This window comes from Homo sapiens, chromosome 8 (genome assembly GCF_000001405.40).
Source record: "Homo sapiens chromosome 8, GRCh38.p14 Primary Assembly".
NCBI lineage: Eukaryota > Metazoa > Chordata > Mammalia > Primates > Hominidae > Homo > Homo sapiens.
In genome coordinates, this window is record NC_000008.11 from 11,963,711 (window position 1) to 11,988,157 (window position 24,447).

Sequence of the window (24,447 nt, forward strand, 5' to 3'; positions counted from 1 at the left end):
ATGGGTCCTGGGGAGGGCTCCGGATGCAGGGGGCAGTGATGGCCAAGGCCCTTGGGGGCTCTCTGTTGGGGCCACTCACAGCAGGGATGCAGATGTTCAATATCAGCACCCCCTCTCCCAGCATCTGGAGAAACAGCCTTGCCGCTGACTCCAGGCAGGCTCTAGATGATCAGCTGATGATGAAATTTACATCTGAGCCTGTTCCCTTGAGATCTCACAGATGATTCCATTTTGGAACCTTTCCCATCCCCCTCATTTCCTTCCCAAACCTCTTCTCTCAGTGGGAAAGGGTATCGTCTCCCTCCAGGGTACCCGGGAAATTCCCATAGAAATGTCCTCAGGGCTGTTCCACCCGGGAACACTGGGCAGCCCCTCCTCCTGGTTCCAGCAGCTCTTAGAGAATTGAGATTGACTCTGCAGGTGGGTGATGCAGGGAGGCCTAAGTATGCGTGTGAAGGTGACTCCAAACTTCCTGGGTCCCAGAAGCTCTCGGGCAGCTCAGGGAGGAGGACCTGGACAGCAGAAAGCACATAGATACAGAGAGAAGAGGAAGCATTCCTCCAGCGACTCCTCCCACTTATTTTCCAAGCAGATCTTTGGCCCTGGCCTTGCCTGACCCAGCACTTGTCAGGGTCCCAGGGCTGGGCTTGAGCTGAGCAAAATAATGAAAATGGTGATAAACAAATCAAAAAGCAACTCATACTTGTGTAACTCTTTCAAAGACTCATATATATAGTATCTCAGTAGATCTTCACAAGTGGGTATGGCACAAACCATCTCCATTTATAGATGAGAAAACCGAGCTTCAGAGAGTCTACTTGAATAGCTCATGATTTCAGAGCTGGTGCAATGAATATTCAAGCCTATATTCTCTTTTGTTGGCTATGTTTTTTCAACCTAGATAACAGACAGAAAGAAAATGATGTTTATTCAGGAATGGGAATTGCAATGGGAATACATCCAACTGAGAAGTGTAATGCAGGTTTGGGAAACAATGTTTTTTCTCTCCTTTTTTTTTTTTCTAGAAAAATCATGTTTATTTGGGGGGAATAGAGCATTGCAATGGGGCTACATGTCTACATGTGTCCTAGTAAACTATGTGCATATTGGGAAAAAGGAAGACAAATGTTGTTAAAGGAAAAATGAGGAAGATCGCATAATTGTTTTCAGATAATTATCCTTGGCTACAAGGATCAATAACAGGGGTGGCACCTGTCTGAGGCTGGACAGGAAGCTGCCGGACAGCTGCCCTCACAAAAATATTTGTGTGTGTGTGTGTGTAAGGTTGAGATGGCTTTTGTGCAAGGTTGTGGTTTTTGCAGGGTTTTTGTGATAATTCTGATTGGGCATTTGTGCAAGACAACCCTCCCTTCTCAACCTTCCCTGGCTCTATTTGTTAAGGTTTTTTTGTTTTTGAGACAGAGTCACTCAGGCTGGAGTGTAGTGGCACAATCTTGGCTCATTGCAACCTCCATCTCCTGGGTTCAAGCAATTCTCCTGACTCAGCCTCCTGAGTACCTGGGATTACAGGCATGTGCCACCATGCTTGGCTAATTTTTTTTTTTTGTATTTTTAGTGGACGGGGTTTCACCATGTTGGCCAGGCTGATCTTGAACTCCTGACCTCAGGTGATCCACCCACCTTGGCCTCCCAAAGTGCTGGGATTACAGGCGTGAGCCCCCATGCCCGGCCTTGTTAAGGTTTTTTTAACACAAGGGACTCCGTTTTGATGCCGGAAACTTTCCCAGTTTCCCTGCCAGGTACAGAGCAGGGAGTGGGCACAGTTAGGAAGTAAAGCTGAAAGGAACATCAGGAGCCCAAGAGGGTTGAGGGCTCCCAGCTAGAGGTGATCTTAGTGAGATAGGGTGGGGAGCATTCAGCAGCCAGAGCAGAGAGAAAAATAATGTGATTCTGGCAAAGGGGGCTGGGCCCTGGCATGGAGCATTTTAGGGAATGCGTGAATCGGAGAGGTGGGAGGCTGTGGCCCCCGGGCGATGGCACACCAAGGTGGAGGACAGTGGGACTGATTGCCCTCACCCACCCCCGGGAGTGTTATCACTGACCTTGTCTAGAATTGCTGGAGCATGGTAATAATAAATAATACACTGACTCTTAGTCGCTTTTATGATTGTTTTGAAATTCTCTTGTGACGATGCCACTTCCCTTCACCCCTGGCAGGAAACTGACCATGGGGCACGGCATATTCCTCTTTCTTCTTCTTTTTTTAAGAGACAGGGTCTCACTCTGTTGCCCAATTGGTATGGTGGTGTGATCATGACTCACTGCAACCTCGACCTCCAGTGCTCAAGCGATCCTCTCACCTCAGACCCCCAAATAGCTGGGATTATAGATGCACACCAGCACGCCCAGCTAATTTTGTATATTTTTTGTAAAGATGGGGTCTCACTATGTTGCCCAGGCTGGTCTTGAACTTCTGGGCTCCAGCAATCCTCCCATCTCAGCAACCCAAAGTGCTGGGATTACAGGTGTGAGCCACTGCACCCGGCCCTGTGCTGTGTATTTCTGCAATGCCTCCATGCTAGTCATGAGCTGGTGCTTCCTGGGCACTGTCTACTGTCTCCAGATGTTTTCTAGACTGGTGCCCTCTTTCTTCCTTAGTAGGTAGCACCATGGTACCTCAGTCCAAGCCTTCACATTGCAGGCAGTTGAGGTGACGTGCCTAGAGTCATAGACACGGTCAGTGCATGGGTGAGGAAACCCCCGGCTCCCAGACCTGGGCTTTGCTCATGAGCCACACGACCTCCTAGCAGGCAGGTGTGAGGCTGCTGAGGGAAGGGTGCTTCTGGGGGAGGGGTGCTGCTATGACTGGGAAGACAGGATGGCTGTGGGAACTCTGTCCCTAATGGGTGGGCCGCAGACTCTCCTGTCCATTAATGGGTACATCTAGGAACAGGTGCTTCTAACTGTTAGTGAATCTGAGCCTACGGGGCACTGGAGGTGGCTGCCCTGACCCATCGTGCCATTGATGTGGCGCAGCGGGAAGATAATTCGGCAAGAATTAGAAGGCAAAACCCACTTGCAAATAACAGCAGCAGCAGCAGCAGCGACAGCTACTACCTGCTGAGTGCTTATTTACTGGTTAATACTCATCGAGCACTTGCTATTTGCCAACCGCCATGCTCAGTACTTTTTAAGCTCACTTAATCCTCCCAACAGTCCTGTGAATTAACTTCTCTTATTATCCCTGTCTTAGGGAAGAGCACATTGAAGCTGATAGAGGTTAAATGACTCGTTCATAACCATCCAGCTAATCAGTGGCTCAGGAAGAATCAGGTTTGAGATCCAGCTGTTCAATACTAAAGCCCACTCACAACCAGCCCATGGTCCTGCGCCCATGGATGACATTTGGGTGGCATCCCAGGCCCCTGTTCCCAGGACAGGCAGCCAGCGGCCCTGGGAGCAGCATGTGCTCCCTGCTTGCCCTGTCCCTACTGCCTCTCATGCACTCTGTCATCGGATATTTCTTGAGTCCCACACCAGGTGTCCTGCAGGCACAGGTCAGGATGCTGCCTGGGCTAAGCGGGTAGAGGGGTGTGGAGAACGAGTTCTTAGCCATGGTGGTTTGCCATGGGCTGAGCAGAAAGTCAGCATACCCTGGGCCAGCACAACCCAGTATTTATTTGTAATAACTCTGTGTATCCTCCAAAGAGTCTGCTTTACGTGAGACAGAGAGGACTAAGAGAAGGAGAGTGAGAGCGAGGGTGGGGGATCTTCACGGCTTAGACACTTGCCTAAGCAGCATTTCCTTTAGAGAAACGAAGGGGACACATCATGTTCTTCCTCAATGAAGATGTGGAGCACTGCATTACTTTCCATTTTCCTTTGAAAGACATTGAGAGAAGAATAAATAGATTTTGGCCTAAAATGAACCTCTTGCTGCTTCCAGAATAACTAAGGCTTCTGAGCCCACAGCAGGGAATTGCAGAACTGGGAGGGATTTTAGATTCCCCTAGAGCAAAGGTGAAGAAAAGCACAAGCATGTTCAGTAATATTAGGCTGGGTCTCCTGAGGGGCTTTTTAAATTTTAATTTTTGGGACAGGGTCTTGGTGTCTCACCCAGGCTGTGCACAGTGGTGCGATCATGGCTCACTGCAGCCTCAGTCTCCCCAGGCTCAAGTGATCCCCCCACCTCAGCCTCCTGAGTAGCTGGGAGTACCGGTGCAAGCCACCACACCTGGCTAAGTTTTGTATTTTTTGTAGATAGGGGGTTTCGCCATGTTGCCCAGGCTGGCCTTAAATGCCTGTGTTCAAGCAACCTGCCCCACTTTGGAGTTCCAAAGTGCTGGGATTGCAGGCATGAACCATTGCACTCAGCCCCAAAGGGCTTTTATATTTCGGCCTGGCTCACAGTTCTCAGCATTTGAGATGAAACAAACCCAGCAAATAGAAGTTCAGAAAGTTGATTTGGCTGCATTCCCTAGAAACCATTTAGGTTGTGGTTACCAAGCCCACAAGACATCTACTTTTAAAGTCAGAAAGCCACTGATTTCTGGTGTGTGTGAAGGGCGCATTCTACACAGAACACCTGCTCAGTGTCAGGAGGCCCAGCTGCAGCTGCAGATGACAGGGCCTCGTGAGTGTACACGGAGAGGGTGTAAGGCTTTCGATAATCTGCCAAATCCAATAAACGCCTTTCCCTAGTCCAGGGAGGTTTTGGTCTGTGAAAGAGACCTGAGACACCAGCAACATTTGTACTCCTTCTGCCCTTTTCCAGGCCCATCGAAGGCCATCAAGATACAGGTTGCACCTGTCAGGACTCAGGTTGGAGCCAGCCAGGCACCTGGGAGTCAGCCTGCCCCTGAGGTTGTGGGAGGAAAAGCACCATCAAATGCAGCCCAAAGACTTTGATTCAAGGTCTTTTATCCCTCTGGGAGTGAGCTAACTCCAGGGCAGTTGAAAGAAAGGTCAGTTTCTTCTGCAGCTTCTCCTTCTTCTCAGTTCCTCTCTTGTCTAGCTCCCCAGTTGAGCAGAGCTGAGCAGTGCTAACCTGTGGGGGAAACCAGACAGAAGCTAGAGATCTCCTGCCCAGATACTGGGAAGGGAATTTCTCAGACGAGGTTCAACCTGTCAGGTCCTGTCAAAGTCCCAGGCTATGAGCTTAAGGATCCCTGCCTCATGGTCCGGTTTGAAGGGAAAATTTCTCCTGACATCCTGACCCATGCTTTTCTAACCTGACTCCACATCTCCAGAAAGCTGCAGTTCACCTGTTCCCCTTCCTGTTCCAGCAGTGCTCTGAGAGAGACTGAGGCTTCATGTTACAGATCAGGAAGCAGAAAGGGAGTGGCTAGATCTGTGTTTGAATCCCAGTTTTGCACACTGATGAGTTGTGTGGTCCTGGGAAAATGTCTTGCCTGCTCTGAATGTTAGTTTTTACACCTGTACTTTAGTTATGAAAGATTTTACACTATCAGGTCCCCTGATGGGTTGGCAATTAGTTGAGTAATCTGCTTCAATATTTTTTTTTCGAGACAGAGTCTTGCTTTGTCACCCAGGCTAGAGTGCAGTAGTGCCATCTCGGCTCACTGCAACCTCTGCTTCCTGGGTTCAAGCGATTCTCCTGCTTCAGCCGCCCAAGTAGCTGGGATTACAGGCACCTGCCACCACGCTCGGCTAATTTTTGTATTTTTAGTAGAGATGGAATTTCATCATATTCGCCAGGCTGGTCTTGAACTCCTGACCTCGTGATCTGCCCGCCTTGGCCTCCCAAAGTGCTGGGATTACAGGCATGAACCACTGCACCCAGCCAATTTCCTCCATTTTTTTTTTTTTTTTTTTTTTATTGAGACAGAGTCTCACTCTGTCGCCCAGGCTGGATGGAATGCAGTGGTGTGATCTCGGCTCACTGCGAGCTCCGCCATTCTCTGTCTCAGCCTCCGGAATAGCTGGGACTACAGGTGCCCACCACCACACCTGGCTAATTTTTTGTATTTTTAGTAGAGATGGGGTTTCACCGTGTTAGCCAGGATGGTCTCGATTTCCTGACCTCGTGATCCGCCCACCTCGGCCTCCCAAAGTGCTGGGATTACAGGCGTGAGCCACCGCGCCCGGCCAATTTGCTCCAATTTTAGAGAATAAGATTGGAAGACTTCCTCACATACAACCTCAGGAATCAGGGCGAGGAATCCATCTGAACACCTCATGCCCACAGTCAGTTGCTCCTGTATTGCACCCTCGTCCTGGCTCCAGCCTGAGTTAAGAAGCCATGACGTAGGCTGGGCGCGGTGGCTCATGCCTGTAATCCCAGCACTTTGGGAGGTTGAGGCCAGTGGATCACCTGAGGTCAGGGGCTCAAGACCAGCCTGGCCAACACAGTGAAACCCCTTCTCTACTAAAAATACAAAAAAATTAGTTGGGCCTGGTAGCTCTTGCCCATAGTCCCAGCTACTCAGGAGGCTGAGGCAGGAAAATTGCTTGAACCTGGGAGGTGGAGGTTGCAGTGAGCCAAGATCGCACCACTGCACTGCAGCCTGGCAACAGAGCGAGACTCCATCTCAAAAAAGAAAAAAAAAGAAGAAGCCGTAACTGAGGTCTAGAATACTGTCATTGTCCCTTCAGCATGTGGCCATTGGCATTGGCTGCTTAAACCCCTAACTGTGAGGGTTGGCATGGCTTGTGAAATATGCTGCAATATGAAGCACTCAGGTATCTTTCGGAGGGAGCTTAAGGAACTGCTACTCCCATCAACTCTGTGCGATGGAATTGCTTTTGTCCTCAGAAGCAGATGAGTGGGCTAAGAAGAGCTGGGATGTCTCATAATTTGAGAAAAAAGCTGTCCGTGTCCCCAAACCAAAGCACCAGCAGATAAGGAAGGCACTATTGTCCCAACAGGTTGACTCCAGGCTTTCCTGCCTGATCGGGTCAGAAGCTCTCTGCTGGTGCTAGCAGAGAAGGCCTGAGCAGCAGAGGCTTCCACCTAGATTTTGTGGGGATAACACACCACCTGGATCCGACAGGTGGCGCTCACTATTGCTCGATGGTCGGGGGAAAGAAGGCAGGGAATTTAGCTTCTATACCGCTGTGGCTGACCGTACTTTCCAACAGGCCAGGCCTGAACCTCAGGGTCTGCCTGTGACCCACCAGCCATGCCATGCTCAGTCCCGTCTGCTGGGATGTCTGGGCATGAGCCCAGCACAGTGGGTGGTTATCGTGGAGATGGGAGACATGTGCTCCCTGCCAAAGGCCAATTTCAGGAAACTGATGAGACCTCTGCTCTTATTCGGGATCTCTGAACATCCAATGGTAGGGACAGCTAGTCTTGCTAACAGAATCCTTCCTTTCTTAGGGTTTGACACCATCTCAGTGATGGTGGACATCATAATGATCTCGGGGGACACAACATGACCTGGTTCTGTTGTGCAGAAGTTGATTGCTCTTCTCAGGTCCCCTCACTTCCAGACCAATGACCAGAGGGAGAACTTGAACTGGTTTCTAGAAGGGCTCCACAGAGGCAATAATACAACAGCGCCCTCTCCTTTTCACTCCTCTCCTCGCACTTGCTCATTCCACTAAAAATGGTTGTTGCCAGCATGGTTTTTGGAGTTCTTGAGATGCAAAATCAGGAACTGGGTGGTAAGAGGCCTCTGACGTTTGTTGAACAAAACTGAGCTTCTGCATACGTGGATCTTGAAAGGCAGAGATGCTGGCTTTTGGAAAAGTGCCGTGGCTCCAGATCTGAACCCTTTAATGTGACTTGACAGACACAGGATGGGGAGTCCTCAGTGATTATTATTTGACAGCTGAGTACTTTTGAATATATGTGATTTGGCCAGTTGCGGTGGGCCTACCTGTAATCCCAGCACTTTGGAAGGTCGAGGTGGATGGATCACCTGAGGTCAAGAGTTCGAGACCAGCCCAGCTAGTTTTTGTATTTTTGTAGAGATGAAGTTTCACCATGTTGGCCAGGCTAGTATCAAACTCCTGACCTCAGATGATCTTCCCACCTCGGCTTCCCTAAGTGCTGGGATTACAGGCATGAGCCACCGCACCTGGCCAGATTTCTTGGTTTCAAGTAACAGACATTAACTCTGGATGTCTTAAGCATACAGAGAGTGTACTGGGAATACATCTTACCCCCACAGAATAGATGTGAGACGTGCCCATAAACCAAGGGGGCTCTGCAGGGCTGTTCTGTCCAGTCATGGCCCTGAAACAGTTTGCTGCACCAGGACGAACTGATATCTCAATGGCACCCATGTGATTCTGTCATTCACCCCAGTAAAATTTCTGGGGATATAGGTCTCTAAGCCTAAATGTTGGACCCTCCTCATGGGTGCCCTGGGACTTGGAGAGTGAGATTGACACCTGTGGCCCCCTCAGAGACACTGCCCATTGACTCAAAGTCCACACCCAGTGGGCTACAGGGTCAATACATTATGCTGTTTGTGTGTGATAATTTAGTATTCTTGTTTCTTGTGTGGGTTTTCAGCAAAAGTAATTGTAAACGTTTCAGTCCTCTCTGAATGCTGCTGGAGAGAGTTGTGTCTTTTCTGCACCCCACTGTCAAACTTAGAGCAGCATCTCCACCAGGCTGGAGTGACCATGGCCTTAGAAACTGCAAGAAAAGGGTTGGAGTTTTTGGCTTTTTTGAGCATTAGATCCTTTTGACATCTGGTGAAAGAATATCTGCTTTTTCCCTTCGCCCAGTTTTCTCTTTTATTTTCTATTTTTATGTTAATTTCATTGCATTGATATTCTTTTGTGAACTTTTGCAATGTCCTTCCCTGTTTTTTTTTTTTTTTTTGATAAGGGGGTGGTTTGAAATGAGCACGTGCAGGTGGTCTGATGCCACAGGACCACTGTAGACACACTCACAGACCCGAAGGGATCAGCTGAAGCATGATACCCTCGGAGGCTCGCCTCATGGACCATGATGATCTCTGATTTTTCTTCTTTGCTGGAATTTGGGTGATCGATGTTGAGGCTGGGCTCTGAGCAGTCGGCTCACCCCTGCTTAGCGTTTGGTGCAGAGGTTCAGAGTGTGCCTGCTAGGCATGTTTGTGGAGAAGGGAGATCCAAAACTCAGCTGCCCTTCTGTTTTCTTAGTAGAGAATGAGGAGGGTCTCAATGCAGACCCGAGGCCTCTGCCTCCAGGTGGGAACCCTGGAGTGGATGGTGAGGACGTGCTCTTGGACAGTGCTGCCTTCAGACAGCTGCAGGTTTGGAATGGGTGTAGGGTCCAGTGTGTCACCGCACTGGTGAAAGTAGCATGTTCGGTGTGTGGGATTTTAGGGTGAAACCGATCGGGACTCGTGAAAGCCACTGAGTACAGAGCCATGAAAGCAACTTGGCAACCAGAAGCATGATGGCTTTAAACCACAGGATGAGCATTGAGGGTCTTGCCATTCGGGGGGTCTAGTTGGATTCTTGCCTCCTCACTGGAACCACAATCTAGCTTGATTCCCATGCTTACTAATGGAGAGGTGGTGCAACTTTACACTCAAGACACTGCGTGCAGACTCTGTGGATTTAAACCTGGGACTAACTCTTGTCGTGTGACCTTGGAAAATATTCTTCATCTGCCAAATGGGAGAAATTGTAGATTTTATTGTGTGGAGTAATTTCCCTAATAGATGTAAACCACTCAAGTGTGTGACTGGTGTGTGGTTAGCTTTTGTTTCTATGGCCAGAATATATCATTGCTTGGGCCTGTGAACTTGTATTAATCAATAGAATTTGAATTTTTATTATTATTTTTTGAGACGGAATCTCACTCTGTTGTCCAGGCTGGAGTGCAGTGTCGTGATCTCTTTTCAATGCAACCTCCGTCTCCCGGGTTCAAGCAATTCTCCTGCCTCAGCCTCCTGAGTAGCTAGGATTACATGCACCCACCACACCCGGAAGATTTTTGTATTTTTAGTAGAGATGAGGTTTCACCATGTTGGCCAGGCTGGTCACAAACTCCTGACCTCAAGTGATCTGCTCACCTTAGCCTCCCAAAGTGTTGGGATTACAGGCGGGCAGGCGTGAGCCACTGCGCCTGGCCTGAATTTGAATTTGAAAGAGGAATGAGTGATTGGAGATGGGAGGGTAGGAAAAATAACAGGGGATGCATTTCATGGCAGTGCTGCCTTTACAAAATGTTTCTGGAATTTTGCCAGTAAATTGTCAGAATGTGGTCCTCATTTCTGCCCATGGCTCACTTACGAGCTCTAAGATCCTGACACACAGATTAGGAGTGTAGTACTTTGAGCCATTCACATATCCTTTTAATGAACCCATGGATCTTTGGCTTGCGGGGGTTGAAAACGTGTCATATTTTTACAGCAAGACAGAATATTGTGGCAGAACGCAATCCACCTGTATCCTGGCGGACACCCGAAGAAACATACGGCTTTCTGGCTAGTGCAGGTGCGAACTTTGACTCCATCATTCCCAAACATACCTTTTCCTGAAGCGGGGAGAGACCACAGAAAAGAAAAATCAATCTTAATGAGGCTGGGAGAAATCCTAGGCTTGCCATCACCTCCTGGTTGATGGCTTGTTAGTTGTGATTTACCTCACCTCTTATCACAACTCAGCAAGGCAGATAAAGCTCAGGGTAGCCAGAGGCATTGGAGGGGAGATAGGAATCTGGGTGGCTGCACGATCTGTGTGCACAATGACATCCACCCCCGTCCCCGGTGCACTGGCAGATCTTCCAGCTGCAGCAACAGCAGAGCAGGGCAGGAGCTGGGGTCCGCTCACCATGCCCCTAACATGGTGGCCCATTTGATATTGGTGTCCTGTTGCTGGGCTTATAGTTAGAGGGTTTTTTAAGCATCTCAATCTTTGGGAACACCCACTTTTATGTTCAGACTCACGCCCACTGTCTTACCTGAAGGCAGTAAGATCACCAGGAAAAAGAGTAATGCAGAAAGACAGAGGTTCATGGCCGAAGAGGGCACAGAGTTGGAACTCCCAGTGGTGTCTGCCTGGGAGGCTCCTTTATAGAGCTGGGCTGGGCTGCGATGGGTGGGGCTGGACCCTGGCCTCACTCTTCCTGGAGGGGCAGACTGAGGAGATCACAGGGTTCTGCAGAATTCGAGGAAGAAAAGGCCCTGGCCTTTCAGTGCTACCTCCTTTTCTACAAACCGCGGGAAAACCAGAGACTCAGCTAAGGCTGTCACGTTTCCTGATAGCAGAATAGGAGAAAAGACCAGGATCCCCATGCCTAGGCCTGAGCGCTTTCCCTCTGCCTTCAAATGTACTTTGATATAAACATGGCAGTGAAAATGTCTGCTCTGTCTCTCCTTTCCTCTGGAGCACCACTGAAAGCTCAGGAGCGCAGAGAAAGGGTGTTATGAAACACAGGCTGAATTTAAGCCTGGAAAGACAGTTCCGACACACGGAGTCTCTCAAATTGTCAACCAGTGGCCTGACCAAGAGAAGGTAGGGGCTCAGAACTAGTGGAGAAGGGACAGCTTCCTTGTCTAGCAGCTGACTTATTTACCTGGCTGAAGGCAGATACTGCAAAAAAAAAAAAAAAAAAAAGTCCTGGAAAAGTTCACTGATGGACTTTGTTCTCCAAATGGCTGGTATGAAACGTTGGCTAGGATGAGGGGACTCTGAAGGTTCTAGGAGAGATTTCTTTTTTGGAGTTGAGGAGTTGAAACTCTCCCTTAGAAGAGTCGGTTCAGTGCTGTGTTCAAGGTTGGATGCACAGTGTCCAGAGTGGAGCCAGACAGGGCTTCTCTGGAGTGACAGAGACTCAGCCCTGGAGAAGGGCCCTTAGGCCTGTCTCTCTTGGGGTGATGAGGGATGTCTGAGGGTGAAGATGACACTAACTTTGATTTTGTTCTGACCCTTAAGGCAGGCTTTTACGCAGGCAGCCAACAACCACAGGGCTGTGTGTGGTGTGTCAGTGGAGCATGGTATTCCTGGGTACACTCTGCTTTGCAGGCCTAGACCCTCAGATGCATTATTTAGCATCTCAGCCTCAAGAACTCCTCAAAAAGTGCATTGGAAGGTTATGCGTGGTTTTTTTTCAGGATGAAATGAGATACAGCTTATAAAATGCTTTGCACGCACACTGCCATACAGTAGGTACTCAATATTATTATTATTATTGTTTTTTGAGACAGTCTTGCTCATCACCCAGGCTGGAGTGCAATGGCCCAAACTCGGCTTACTGCAACCTCCATCTCCTGGGTTCGAACGATTCTCCTGCCTCAGCCTCCGAAGTAGCTGGGACTACAGGTGCCCACCACCACACCTGGCTAATTTTTGTATTTTTAGTAGAGATGGGGTTTTGCCACGTTGGCCAGGCTGGTCTGGAACTCCTGACCTCAGGGGATCCACTTGCCTCAGCCTTCCAAAGTGCTGGGATTACAGGCATGAGCCACCCCACCCAGCCAATACAGTAAGCACACATATTCTTAATTTTCTGGTTCTTGCTTACTAATCTTTCCCTACTCCCAGGTCATAAAACTATTTCCTATATTATCTTTCTTTTTTCTTTATTATTTTTCTTTCTCATTTAGCTCTATAACCACCTGTGATGATTTCTGTGTATGGTATAAATTAGGGGTCCTATTTAGTTTTCTTTTCCCCTATGGAAAACCAATTGTTTCAAGACCAAAAATTATTGAAAAGATTGTTGTTTCTCTACTGTCTAGCTGTGCCACCTTTGTTTTAAATCAGGCTCCACATATGCGTGAGTCTGATGCTGGGAACCTTAATCTGTTCTATTGTTCTATTTGTCTATACTTGCACTAATGCCATGCTGTCTTACTGCTATAGCTTCATAATAAGTTAATAAACTTTTAAATAAGATCTATCTATCATCTATCTATCTATCTATCTATCTATCTATCTATCTATCTATCTATCTATCTATGAGTCTGTCTCCAACAGAGCCAAATCTTCCCACTTATCTTTTTTGTGTGTGTGAGTGTCTTGGCTATTTTTGGTTCTTTTCATTTCCATACAGATTTTAGAATCAGATGGTCAAATTCCCCCAAACAACAGTTCATTATGCTGTTAGTCTTGATTTTTCTCTTTTGTGATGTACAACCTCCTGAATGCCTGTGGGCTGTTGTATTTGTGGATTGAATACATCTTGTATTCATGCTGTAATGAACACTTTACACGAAATAAAGTTGGAAAAGATTCTGCTTCCTAGACAACAGTAAAATCCCAAGGACCTGTCTCCCCATCCCATGAATCTCTTTGGCTGTGAATAGCATCAGTGGTATCTGTAATTTCCTCAGTGGCTTGGCTGCAGTTGCTAATGGAAGCTATGGTGAGGCTTTGCTGGGGTTAGGGATGCCAGGTTGGCCACTCCTCAAGCCCTTGTAGTGATAATGACAGACAATGCATACGTGACCTTGGGTCACTGGATGGTGTATGTGGGCACCAGTGTTAGCAGGTCCAGGTGGGCCAATCCCAGGCAGATTTCTTGGTACTGGCAGTGGCAGTGGAGGGCTGGATGGGTGGGTAGGTTCTCAGGTCCCTGGGCAGCATGAATAGTGTGAGTGAGGGTAGCAGTGGTGCAGGATAACACTCAGGCTCCCAGGTGCACTTCCTAATGTTAGTGGTGGCTATGATGGGCTTGGCAGGCTAGTCTCTAGGCTCCTAGGCAACACATGTGGGTGGCTGTGGTTGGTGGTGTTGGCAGCAGGCTAGGTGGGCCCATCTTCAGGTCCCTAGGAGGAGTGTACAAGGACCAGAGATGGTGGAATGGATCGGGTAATTCCTAGTCTTCAGATGGGGTGCTCAGTATCTGGGGGCATGACGTCAAGGCTTTGGTGGCGTGCAGGAGTGTAGGCTGTAGTAGGTGGGGCTGAGCGATCTGTGGTGGTGAGTGGAGAGCCTGACCTCAGAGGTTGTGCTAGAGCACAGCAATCCTGCTGCTGGTATGGGTAAGGTTGCTCTCAACTGTCCCTTGCAAGGAGCTCTCAGGCTCTGGGAGTTCACACTTCATTTCCAGCAGTAGCAGTAGCTGCCATGGTGTATATGGGGAGGGAGCCTGTATTCAGAACACAAACGAAAGCACAGAGGATGTGCTTCTGATAGGGATGAGGTTGGTGATCACAGCCCTAAGCAGAAAATTCTCAGGCTCTGAGTAGTGCTTGCTTCAGCTCGTGGCTGCAGTGTTGTTCAGGGCAGCGGAGGGATCCTGCCTTCTGCATGTGAGCTCAAGCACAAAGGCCTTGCTGCTGGTCAGGGAGTGGTCGCTATTCACAGACCCAGACAAGCAGCTCCTGGATTCACTCGCATTGGCTGCCAGTAGCAGCAGCAGCAGCTGTAGTGTTGTGCATGGGAGTAAAGGAAGAGACCCCACCTTCTGTGTATGGGCTGGAGCACAGGGGCTGTACTGCTAGTGAGGGCAGGGTGTTATTCACAGATCCAGAGAGGCAGCTCTCAGACCAACTTGTTTTGACTCCTGGCGGGACCAGCAGCTGCTGCAGTGGCCTAGGGGGTGAGCCCAAGCATAGATGTCATTCTACTGGTGGGGGCAGGGTTGCTTCTTACAGTCCCAGACGGGAGCTGTCAGGCTCTGGAAAGCTCCCAGTAGGGCTCCCTTTGTCCCTGCGAGAGTCTCCTGGGTGCACTGCACCATCCTTTCCCCAGGGAGTAGTACTCCACTTGGGCTAAAGTGCTGAGGACTCTGTAGCATCACTGGGTTCAGCCAGTGCCGAGCCACTGCAGCCATCTGGGTGGACGTCAGGGGATATCAGTGGGGGTTCTCCTCTGTGGAGATGTGGGGCCTCTTGGTTCCCAGGACAGGATTCATTCTGGTGGAGGCTGGGCGCTTGCACTAGCACTGTGCTGCAGCCGCTTAGATCTCAGGAGATGTGTATAACTCAACATGACTTCCCTGTGTGGAGCAATGCCCTTGAGAGGTATCCTGATCACCACCCACGCTAATCTCAGGGCCCACGTGGGATAAAAGCCCTCCTGCTGCTAGGGTTACAGTAGTCTGAGATGGAGATGTGAACCCCCGAGAGGCTCTCATTTACCTTTTCCCAGCAAATGGGAGCCATTCCAGGCTCCTAGCCAACCCACATCCTGCTCCTTCTATGGCTCCAGTGTTTCCTGTAACTTCTCTGTTTAACTCTGGAGTTTTCTCATAGATGTTCTATCCTAGGTGTAATTCACAATTTTGGTTCTTTTTTTCTGGAGAGGGAGAGTGTCCCATGTCTTTACTCAGGCGTCTTGACAAAATGAAACTTTGTACCCTTTGACCAATATCTCCCCTCTCTGCACTCCTGGCCCTAGCCTCTGGTAACCACCATTCTTCTCCCTGCTTCTGAGTTTGACTTTTCTAGATTCCACATATAAGTAAGATTATGCGGTATTTGTCTTTCTGTGCTTGACTTATTTCACTTAGCATAATGTCACTAAGGGTATTTTAATGCTGTGCTTAGGAGTTTAAGCTGGGGGAATCAAGTCCACACTTGTCTTAATATGGGTTTAGGGTGTTGTAAAATCAAAGTCATGGAGACCCATTACAAGGCTTTATGACTCCAAGATCAAGTGAGAAGTAAAGTAAGAGTATTGGCAGTAGTGTAAAAAGGAGAATATTCATCTCAAGAGCAATAAGAAATAAAATAAATAAATACTTGATTTTTAATATCTGTGGAATTTAGAAAGAGAAAGGTAGTTAGGATAATTTCCAGGTTTCTGATTTAAGTTTGTGGGTTCAGTGGTGAAGTTCACTGGAAACACCAGAGGTTTTGGGAGGAAGGATGAGAAAAAAATTAGTAATGTTTTGGATAGGTTGAGTTTGAGCTTCCTGTAGGATGTCTAGGTGGAGCAGCCAAGTAGACAGTTGGGAAGTTTAAAAGAGGAACTGAGATTGCATATATAAATTTTAGAATCAAAAGTCAAAGAGTCATAAAAATGAATGAATTCAACAAGAGAGATTCAGAAGAGTAAGAAGAAAATAAGATTGAGGAGCAAACCTCACATCAGCATTTATGGCAAGAAAAGGGAAGGTAGAATTGTGGAAAAGACTCTGACAATGTGCCTGAAAGGTACAAAGCAATCCAGGAAGATTGTGATGTGATACAGAACAAGAACATCATCTTAAGAAGCAAATACTTGGAGAGGATGCTGATATGGTTTGGCTATGTCCCTACCTAAAACTCACCTTGAATTGTAATAGTCCTGACCTGTGAAGAGTGGGGCCAGGGGGAAGCCATCCTGAAGGATTTTCCACAGGGCAAATGCATAAATCAATTTCAGTTTTATAAAAGGTCATTTTGGTTACCAAGTGGAGAATAAATGGTAAATATCTAAAAATGATATGGGAGCCATTTAAGAGGCCATTTACTGAGTTTGGTGACAGAGGTGATGGCATGGACGCAGTGGCAGCAGTGGAGATGGAAATGGGCGAGTGTGAAACGCATGCTGAAGGCAGAACTGGGAACGTTTGACGAGCAATTCAATGTGGACAGGGTGAGGGAAAGGCGGTGTCAGGATCATCTCAGGTATCGTTCAGGAGATTGTGAAGTGGGGCTTACTTGTCCTCTGGTGTGTGGAGCCTGGGTCAATGAACAGCTTCCAGTCACCAAGGCTGCCAGGAAGCAGTGTCCTTAGAGAAGGACCTAGCATTTTGCCAAGACACAGAGATGGAAGAGTGTTCTTGGGGAAGACATAAAGTAGAAGGTATGTTTATAGTAGAACTGTGGTTCTGGACGGCACAGTGGGAAGGGTTGAGATGGAGACAGAGGGAGTTTCTTGGAGAACAGAAGATCAGGACCATGGCAGCTGAGAGAGTGCAAATCAGGCTGTGCCTAATGCTGCAGGTTGGAAAGTGGGTCTCAGGAGAGTCCCTTAATGCATTTGTGCTTGCTTAATCTTTTCTCTTTGTGCTCCTCAAAACTCAGGTCCTCTATTCTTTCTCTATTTACTGATTTTCTGCTCTGCAGTTCTTTATGAGTCTTTCACAGATGTGCAATCTCAACCACATCGCAAACATCCTGAAGTTGGAAAACAAGAGTCCATTGAAGTGGCATACATTTGATGCATTCTTGTGAATAAAACAGGGACAGAGAGAGGGAAGCATGTGTTCCTAGTCCTGGCTATTTCACTCTCTAGCTGGAGAAGCAACATGTCTAGTTTTATTTCTTTAAATAGAGAAAGGGGTCTCACTATGTTGCCCATGATGATCTTGAATGCCTGGCCTCAAGCGATCTTCTCATCTCGGCCTCCCAAAGTGCTGCGATTACAGGCACATGCCACCACACCTGGCCAATATCTATAGTTTTAAATGTCTTCTTCTGTTACATGAGTCTAATAGTTCCTTAAATATATGTTCTATATGTTCTATAAAGGACTGGCCTTAAGAGTTACTTCATTTGGCCTTGCGACAAGCCTTCCTGATAGGTGGGAATGATGGAGTACAACCTATTTTTTGTTGTTGTTGTTGTTTAAGACAGAGTCTCACTGTGTCACCCAGGCTGGAGTGCAGTGGTGCAATCATGGCTCACTGCAGCCTTGATCTCCTGGGTTCAGGTGATTCTCCCACCTCAGCCTCCTGAGTAGCTAGGAGTACAGGCGCTCACTATCATGCCTGGCTAATTTTTGCATTTTTTGTAGAGATGGGGTTTTGCCATGTTGCCCAGGCTGGTCTTGAGCTGCTGAGCTCAAGCAATCCACCTTCCTCAGCCTCCCAAAACGTTAGAATTATAGGCATGAGCAACTGCACCTGGCCAGGTGTACAACCTTCTTTCCAAGTGAGAAAACTGATGGTCAGTGAGGTAAAGTACGTGCTTTATTAAAAGCTTGTCAAGCTACTGCATGCAGAGTCCAGACCAGAAAGACTTTCTGATTCTGGGTTTTGTGTTCTTCATACAGTATCAGATAAAGTTGCTGAAAAACTTAAAACACTTCAAAAACTGTCAAACACTGTCGACTTTAGTCCCTCCAAGCAAGACTTTTGTCATAAATTCTTTGTATGCCCCCCCATTACCCGGCACACAGCATATGCTCAATGGGGAGCCATAGACTCAGTGTTTTTCCCTGGGTCATGTTGCGGGTGTTATGGGGACTTGCTTTTTCCATGCTGTTTTTGAGGAGCTCTTATTTTCCTAAAGACATTACAGCTATACCAGAACTGGGCAAGGCCATACTTTAGTACTTCTGTATATAGGAGTCAGGGAAGCCTGCTTATAAATCATGTTGCTACCATTTAGGATCTATGTGAGCTTGAGAAAGTCATTTCTTCTACCTGAGACTCTTTATTTTTGTTTTTAAAATGGAGAGAATCATGCCTACCTGGACTTCGTGTGTGTGTAAGGTTGAAAAAAAAAACAAACTCTTTGTCAACTATGTAAGGCAGCCTTATGGTTCTCTGCACACTATAGGCATTTTAGTGGATGTACAATGAAGATACACAGACACCTACACAGCACCCTACCAGGGCCTAGAATAGGGCTGCCTACACAGTGTTCATGCAGTTGCTAGCATGCATGTGGCACCCAGGAAGTGTGCTTTAATGAAGGGATGTCATGTTCAAACAGACATTTTGCTGATTGGATTGCTCAGTGGAGCAGGCAGATGTTCTTGTTCCAAAAGGTTCACTAGCCATGCAGCTCCCCGTCTCTTCAAAGCTGCGGAGAGAGTGACTCTCCGATGAGTCACAGCTGCTTCTTTGCTGATTGGTATGGCCACAAGGAGCGTCCTCTTGGCCCTCGTGGTCCTTAACTTACTCTTCTATGTTCCACCAGGTAAAATGGAGTCCCCACCTTGTAGAATTAGGAATAGTAAAGGGAAAAAAGGTGTGAGGTTCTACAAGAGTGAGAAAAAGGCAGGACTTGGACAAAGGAAGCTGCAACAGGGAGGAAAGTGAGCAGAGATGGACATGCTGGGCTGGTCCAGAGAATGGAGAAAAGATCCAAAGGACACAGAACAGGAGGTAGCTCTCTTCAGAAAAGAAACTGGTTATGGATTTTGGTTTGAGGAGCTGGTGAAGTTTGAGGGGAAGGCTGGACTGTTGGTACTGGCAGAAGTAGGGCAGAGCAAAAAGATGAGACTTTCAAAGAATAGCGAGGACTTGGGGATGAGAAGGAGACTGTTCTTTGAGGGCTCTTAGAACTTGCCTTCTACAGTCAGCCACCCATGTTATTTTTCACTCATTTAGAAGCCAAGGTAAATTTTATGCTGAGCAGAATCCACAGACACAGCTGGTTAAGATGTATTACACTAACTTATAGCATGATGAGGTCCTATGAAACATCAGTTTGAGAGGTCAGAATTTACATTCTGTGGACAGAAGCCAGCAACTTGGTGATAATGAGAAGAGTCTACTTCAGTCACTAAAGTGGAGGTTCTCAAAACTGTTTTGCTTGTGGTTTTCTGGGGTCAGCAGAGAGCCCCTACCCTTTGCCTCAAACCTTCATATATAAAGCGTATCACTCAAGGACCAAGTGTGAAGTGTTTAAAAGACAGATATGAGGCTGGGCGCGGTGGCTCACGCCTGCAATCTAAGCACTTTGGGAGGCTGAGTCGAGTGGATCACCTGAGGTCAGGAGTTCGAGATCAGTCTAGCCAACATGGTGAAAACCCGTCTCTACTAAAAATACAAAATTAGCCGGGCATGGTGGCGCATGCCTGTCCCAGCTACTCGGGAAGCTGAGAAAAGAGGATCACTTGAACCCAGGAGGCGGAGATTGCAGTGAGCTGAGATGGTGCCATTGCACTCCAGCCTGGGCAACAAGCGTGAAACTTCATCTCAAAAATAAAAATTAAAAAAAATAAATAAAACGAAGACAGATACGAATGAGGACCATGTTGAGATGATGGCTGATGTCCTGCATGGTGGGACCTCCGACACTTTGCAGTGTGTCTCTACTGGACTCCTTTGTCCCCAGAAAAGTGCCTGAGGTCTAGGGAGCACATGGTGGGCAAGTTTGCCTGCTAACGGCCCTTGACCATACCACATTGATTATTTTCACACCACAAAGGTTCAATCCATGGACTCATGGGGGCACCTGGGTGGAGAAACTGATAAGACTTAGCATGCAAGAGCAGGTGATACAGTAGGGGCAACTCAGGGCCACCCTTACCCTCTTAAACTGCCTTCCTATTACCCCTCCTCCACCCTCTGGTTTCCAGAGGCTCCCAGTTCTTAAGGTGTAGAAAAATTACTAGCAATAAATTTCCATATTTGTCTCAGGTATTTCAAACCATTTCACACTCATTCTCCCATGGGTGCAAAGTACCCATGGGAGAATGGGTACTTCTTAAGTACCTTGTGATTAAGCACTTGACAAAAAGTCATGCAGAATGTTTTTGGGGAATACAGGGGTAGAAGTGCAGGCTTCTAAAATTCCACTTCAGTGATCCTTCTTTCTTTATGCTGACACTTTGATAATCACAAACTGCCTCAGGTAGCTATTCCAGACCCTGCATGCCTCCTGGTATGGGACCTCTGCAGGCTCCTGGGATGACTTCGATGTCTGAATATTCTTTCTGAAGCCAATAGTCTCAAGCTGAATATGCTGGGTCCTGTTAACTCCACACAGTTGATCAGTAATTCATGTAACTAATTGTGGATTCATATAATGGCTTATAATAGGGCCCCTGGAAAACAAGGTAAGAGCAACTGAAAAGGGGCATCCAGCTATAAAATGTCTTGAGTATCTTTGATCGCGTCTAATTCATTATTAAAAAGTGAAAACTATGGTCTGAGGTCTAATTTTATCCATGACAACATGACACTTCAGGACACTAACTGTGCATTAACCTTTGTTTCTCTTGGCAGGTAGAAGTGGACCCAATGTCTACATACAAAAAATCTTTGCTTCATGTTGGCGACTGCAAGGTACTTGCCGGCCAAAATGTCTAAAAAACGAACAATATCGTATTTTGTGTGATACTATACATTTGTGCTGTGTAAACCCAAAATATTTACCTATACTGACTGGGAAATAGTTGTGAGTACCTGAAAGCTGTTGCTGATTTCCTCTGGGAACCCAGATCCCTCTCAGTTGCACCATTCGATTAAAACAATGGCTTTAGCCTATCAGTGTTCCTGTGTCTGCTGTATTTCTCTTTATTGTCTCTCTTACAGAAATACTCTAATTCCTTGTATTGAGTATTTTTCTTTTTATTAATTTGTCGCTTCTTAAAAGTCTCTTAAGAACTTTTTGAAGTATAACATACAATTAAAAAATGTACAAATCATGAGTAAACATCCTCATGAACTGCACAAATTTAACACACCTGTGTAACCAGCATCCTGCCCCCACAAAAGAATGTTACAACATCCCAGGCACTACCAGTCACTACTCCACACAAAATAATTCCTAGCCTGACTTTTAATAGGAAGGCGCTGACATCTATTTTTGAACTTTATATAAATGGAATTGTAGGTATTCCTTTGTGTCTGGCGTCTTCCCCACTACATTACTTTTGTGAAGTTTATTAATCTGTTTCATGTAATTGTAGTTTATCCTTCTCAATGGCATACTGTAATACATTGGGAAAGATATTACAATTTATTTGAATATTGTAAGTGAAGATGGTCTTATTTGTAGTTTCCAGTTTTCACTTTTATAAATAGGGTTGTGGTGCAGGGATTTCTGTGGGGGTTATATACCTAGGAGAGAAATTCCTAGGGCACAGGCTATGCATACATTCAGTTTTAGTAAATACATAGCATCTGATTGTTTTCCAAATTGGTTGTACCAATTTATACTCTCATCCACAATGTGTGAGCATTCTTGTTGCTTTACATTCTTGTCCACATCTAGTATTTTATGCCTTTAAAAAGATATTCTAGGGAGAATATAGTGATGACATATGGGGTTTGATTTGTGTTGCATGGATGACTAATGAAGCTGAGCACCTTTTCAGATGTTTATTGGCCATTTAGATATCCTTATTTGTGATATGACCCTTCAAGACGTTCGTCCATTTTTCTATTGGATTGTCTAACTTGGGAACCTACTAATGAACACTCGTGGTTTGATGTTGAAAACAATGAAGTGAAAGTCATATTGAAAATATTTAAGTTGAAATATTGAGTATGTTATAGTTTGCAATGGACAAAGACGTTTTGTGCTATTTAGGATGACCAGGCCATAAAAATGTTTCTATCCTTGAAAAATTAGGAATGCTTTTCCAAAATGGTGGATTAGAGGAACTGCTAGCATACCTCTTCCACTTGGAAGGACAAAATAGTGTGTACAGATTCACGTTGTGAACTATTTTTCGAGAAGCAACGCAATAACTGAACAGGAAAACCATAGGAATCTATTGATGTTTTGAAGGAAGCAGGAGACTGCAGCCTACACTGAGTCAGTCGAAGGGCTGCGAGTCCCCTGAGTGTGACAGAGTGAATTTGCCTCTGGGATACACATCCCCACTAGGGATCCTGAAAGTCCAGGACACAAGGTGGGGGTGCTGGCGGGGAAGCCCTAACCCGAACTAACGCAGGAACCGACTTGGGGATGGTTATGGACTATAAACTATTCCATACTTTTAGGGGGAGACCCTTGCATGCACTTCCAGATCCCAGCGTAGATTAAGTGCAGCCATTCCTTACTGTTCCTCACAGGAGGCCTTGCGGCCAGCTACAAAGTTCAGGCGCTGGTTGCAGTTTGAAAGAATCTCCCAACGGGGTTCACAGTACAACCTCGGTGGGGACGAACTTCCTTGGCCAGGGCCGGGGCGGGGAGGGTGAAAAGCGGGCTGCAAGTGCAGGAGCCGTAGGTGCAGAAGTCGTGGGTGCAGAAACTGCAAGTGCAGGAGCCACGGGAACACGCCGGCTTTGCAGCGGACAGGGAGGGGCGTGGCCTGAACGCCTGGACTGCAATCTCTGCGGGGAAAGCTTATGACTCCCGGCAGCCGCGAGTTCTGATTACAGGCTGACAGGAACTCAGCTCGCTGCTTCCAGTGGAACACCGTGGGAGTGGATCTGCCTTGTCAAGTGGGTAGGAACTGTGGAGCTTACCACCGCCTGCTACTCCCTACTTCTTGCACAGACTCTTCTGTGCAGCAGGGGCAGCAACGCTGCCCTCTGAAACATTAACCTAGTGGCCTGAGACCCGCTCCCATCCCCCAATACCCATAGAAGCTCCTTCTTTCTCTGCACACGGAGACCAGTGTGCAGGCCCTCCCGACCCAGCCCCTACCTGGCTTTGCCCGGCCACCCGCCCTGGTAACTCAACGCAAAGGACAGAGTCTCCTGGGAGCGACATGGCCCCGCCCATGTCCGGAGAAACCAGAGTATCCCCCTCTGGGCAACATCAGGCAAGCAAAAATCCCAGGGCTACTACCGCAGCTGCTGCTCTTTTGCAAGCGCCACCTCCTAGCTGGAGGCCAACCCACACAGTCCTTGACAGTATCTCCTGGTAGATTAACATTGCACCCAGGAAGGAGAAAACCGCTATGGGATCTCAGCTATCACTGCTGCCTGCACCACTCTGGCTGAACAGGAGGTCCTGAGTCCGTCCACATGACCAGTTCATTACTACTATAACCCGCATTCAAGAAAGCTAACATACTAAGGCTATCAATAACAAAGGAATTTCACAGAATCTGTGTCACAACCTTGCCACTCCCATTAGAGCTGGTGCTGCTACCCACTGCAGGGAAACTTGAGCATAGGTCACATAACTGGATCCCTTGCAGACATTCCCCAACACCAGCCTCGAGTGTGTCAACTTCTCTGGGCAGCTAGACCCAGAGGAGCAAGAACACTCACAGTGACCTGGCTCCCAGGGACTTCCAGGGACTCCCACTTGCAGGGGAAGGAGGACTGCATCACATCAAGGGAACACCCTGTGGGACAAAAGAATCCAGGAGGCAGGCCTTGAGCACCAGATGGAAGGCTTCCTTCAGTAGACACACAGTTGAAGTGCTGGGCTCAGCAAGGAAGGTCTTCACTGTATCCCAACAGTCAGACAGCTCTGGCGCATGTGAAGGGTCTTGGAGAAAAGGAAGTCTTTCCCATGTTATCCACCACCATAGGCACAGTTGGGCTTCTCCCATGGGAGCTTAGTGTGGGTGCAACTATAGACAGTCTTCCTGGAACACATCCCCACAGGAGGAGCACCCTCTAGGTTCAAGGTTGCATGAGAGGCAGAGCCACAATTCCTCTCTATTTGGAACATCAACATTCCTACAGATGAAAAAAAGGTCATGAAAAAAAGTCCTGTCAGTCAGCTCCTGAACAGCAGGAACACTGGGACAGGAGCATGCCTGAGAGGTGGGTAACTTTCCTGGTGATCTGGCAGCAGGGCTGAGGTGGCTCCAACCCTTCCCACAATAAGACCCCAGTGTAACTCACTGAGAGCTCCTCTGGCCTCCTCTGTCAAGCCTGGGACATCATTCACCCACCTGCTTTAGCCACAGCTGGTTCCTACCCAGGGACACCTCCCCTACTGGCCTGAAGCCTGAACTATCAAATTAGTAAATAAAATACTGGGGGAAAATTAATAAATAAATAAGTCCACACTATGGGGGAATGGGATAAGCTTTAAGAGACCTCTACCA

General features: G+C 47.4%; 2 protein-coding genes across 2 annotated transcripts, besides 1 other annotated feature; one reads left to right on the forward strand and one right to left on the reverse strand.

Moving 5' to 3' along the window:
- Positions 1 to 10,226: 10,226 nt before the first annotated feature.
- Positions 10,227 to 10,889, reverse strand: DEFB136 (defensin beta 136). Its single transcript, NM_001033018.2, has 2 exons — positions 10,835 to 10,889; positions 10,227 to 10,408 (listed from the first exon to the last, which is right to left on the reverse strand). Exons 1-2 carry the CDS (start codon positions 10,887 to 10,889, stop codon positions 10,227 to 10,229), a joined length of 237 nt encoding a protein of 78 aa, NP_001028190.2.
- Positions 10,890 to 18,545: 7,656 nt separating this feature from the next.
- DEFB135 (defensin beta 135) lies at positions 18,546 to 20,880 on the forward strand. Its single transcript, NM_001033017.3, has 2 exons — positions 18,546 to 18,674; positions 20,711 to 20,880. Exons 1-2 carry the CDS (start codon positions 18,611 to 18,613, stop codon positions 20,878 to 20,880), a joined length of 234 nt encoding a protein of 77 aa, NP_001028189.2. The 5' UTR covers positions 18,546 to 18,610.
- Positions 22,690 to 23,190: an enhancer, noted in NCBI's record as "H3K4me1 hESC enhancer chr8:11843909-11844409 (GRCh37/hg19 assembly coordinates)". NCBI's record gives its function as "activates a minimal SCP1, AML or CMV promoter by ChIP-STARR-seq in naive H9 embryonic stem cells {active_cell/tissue: H9 hESC(naive)}" and the evidence as "EXISTENCE:reporter gene assay evidence [ECO:0000049][PMID:30033119]".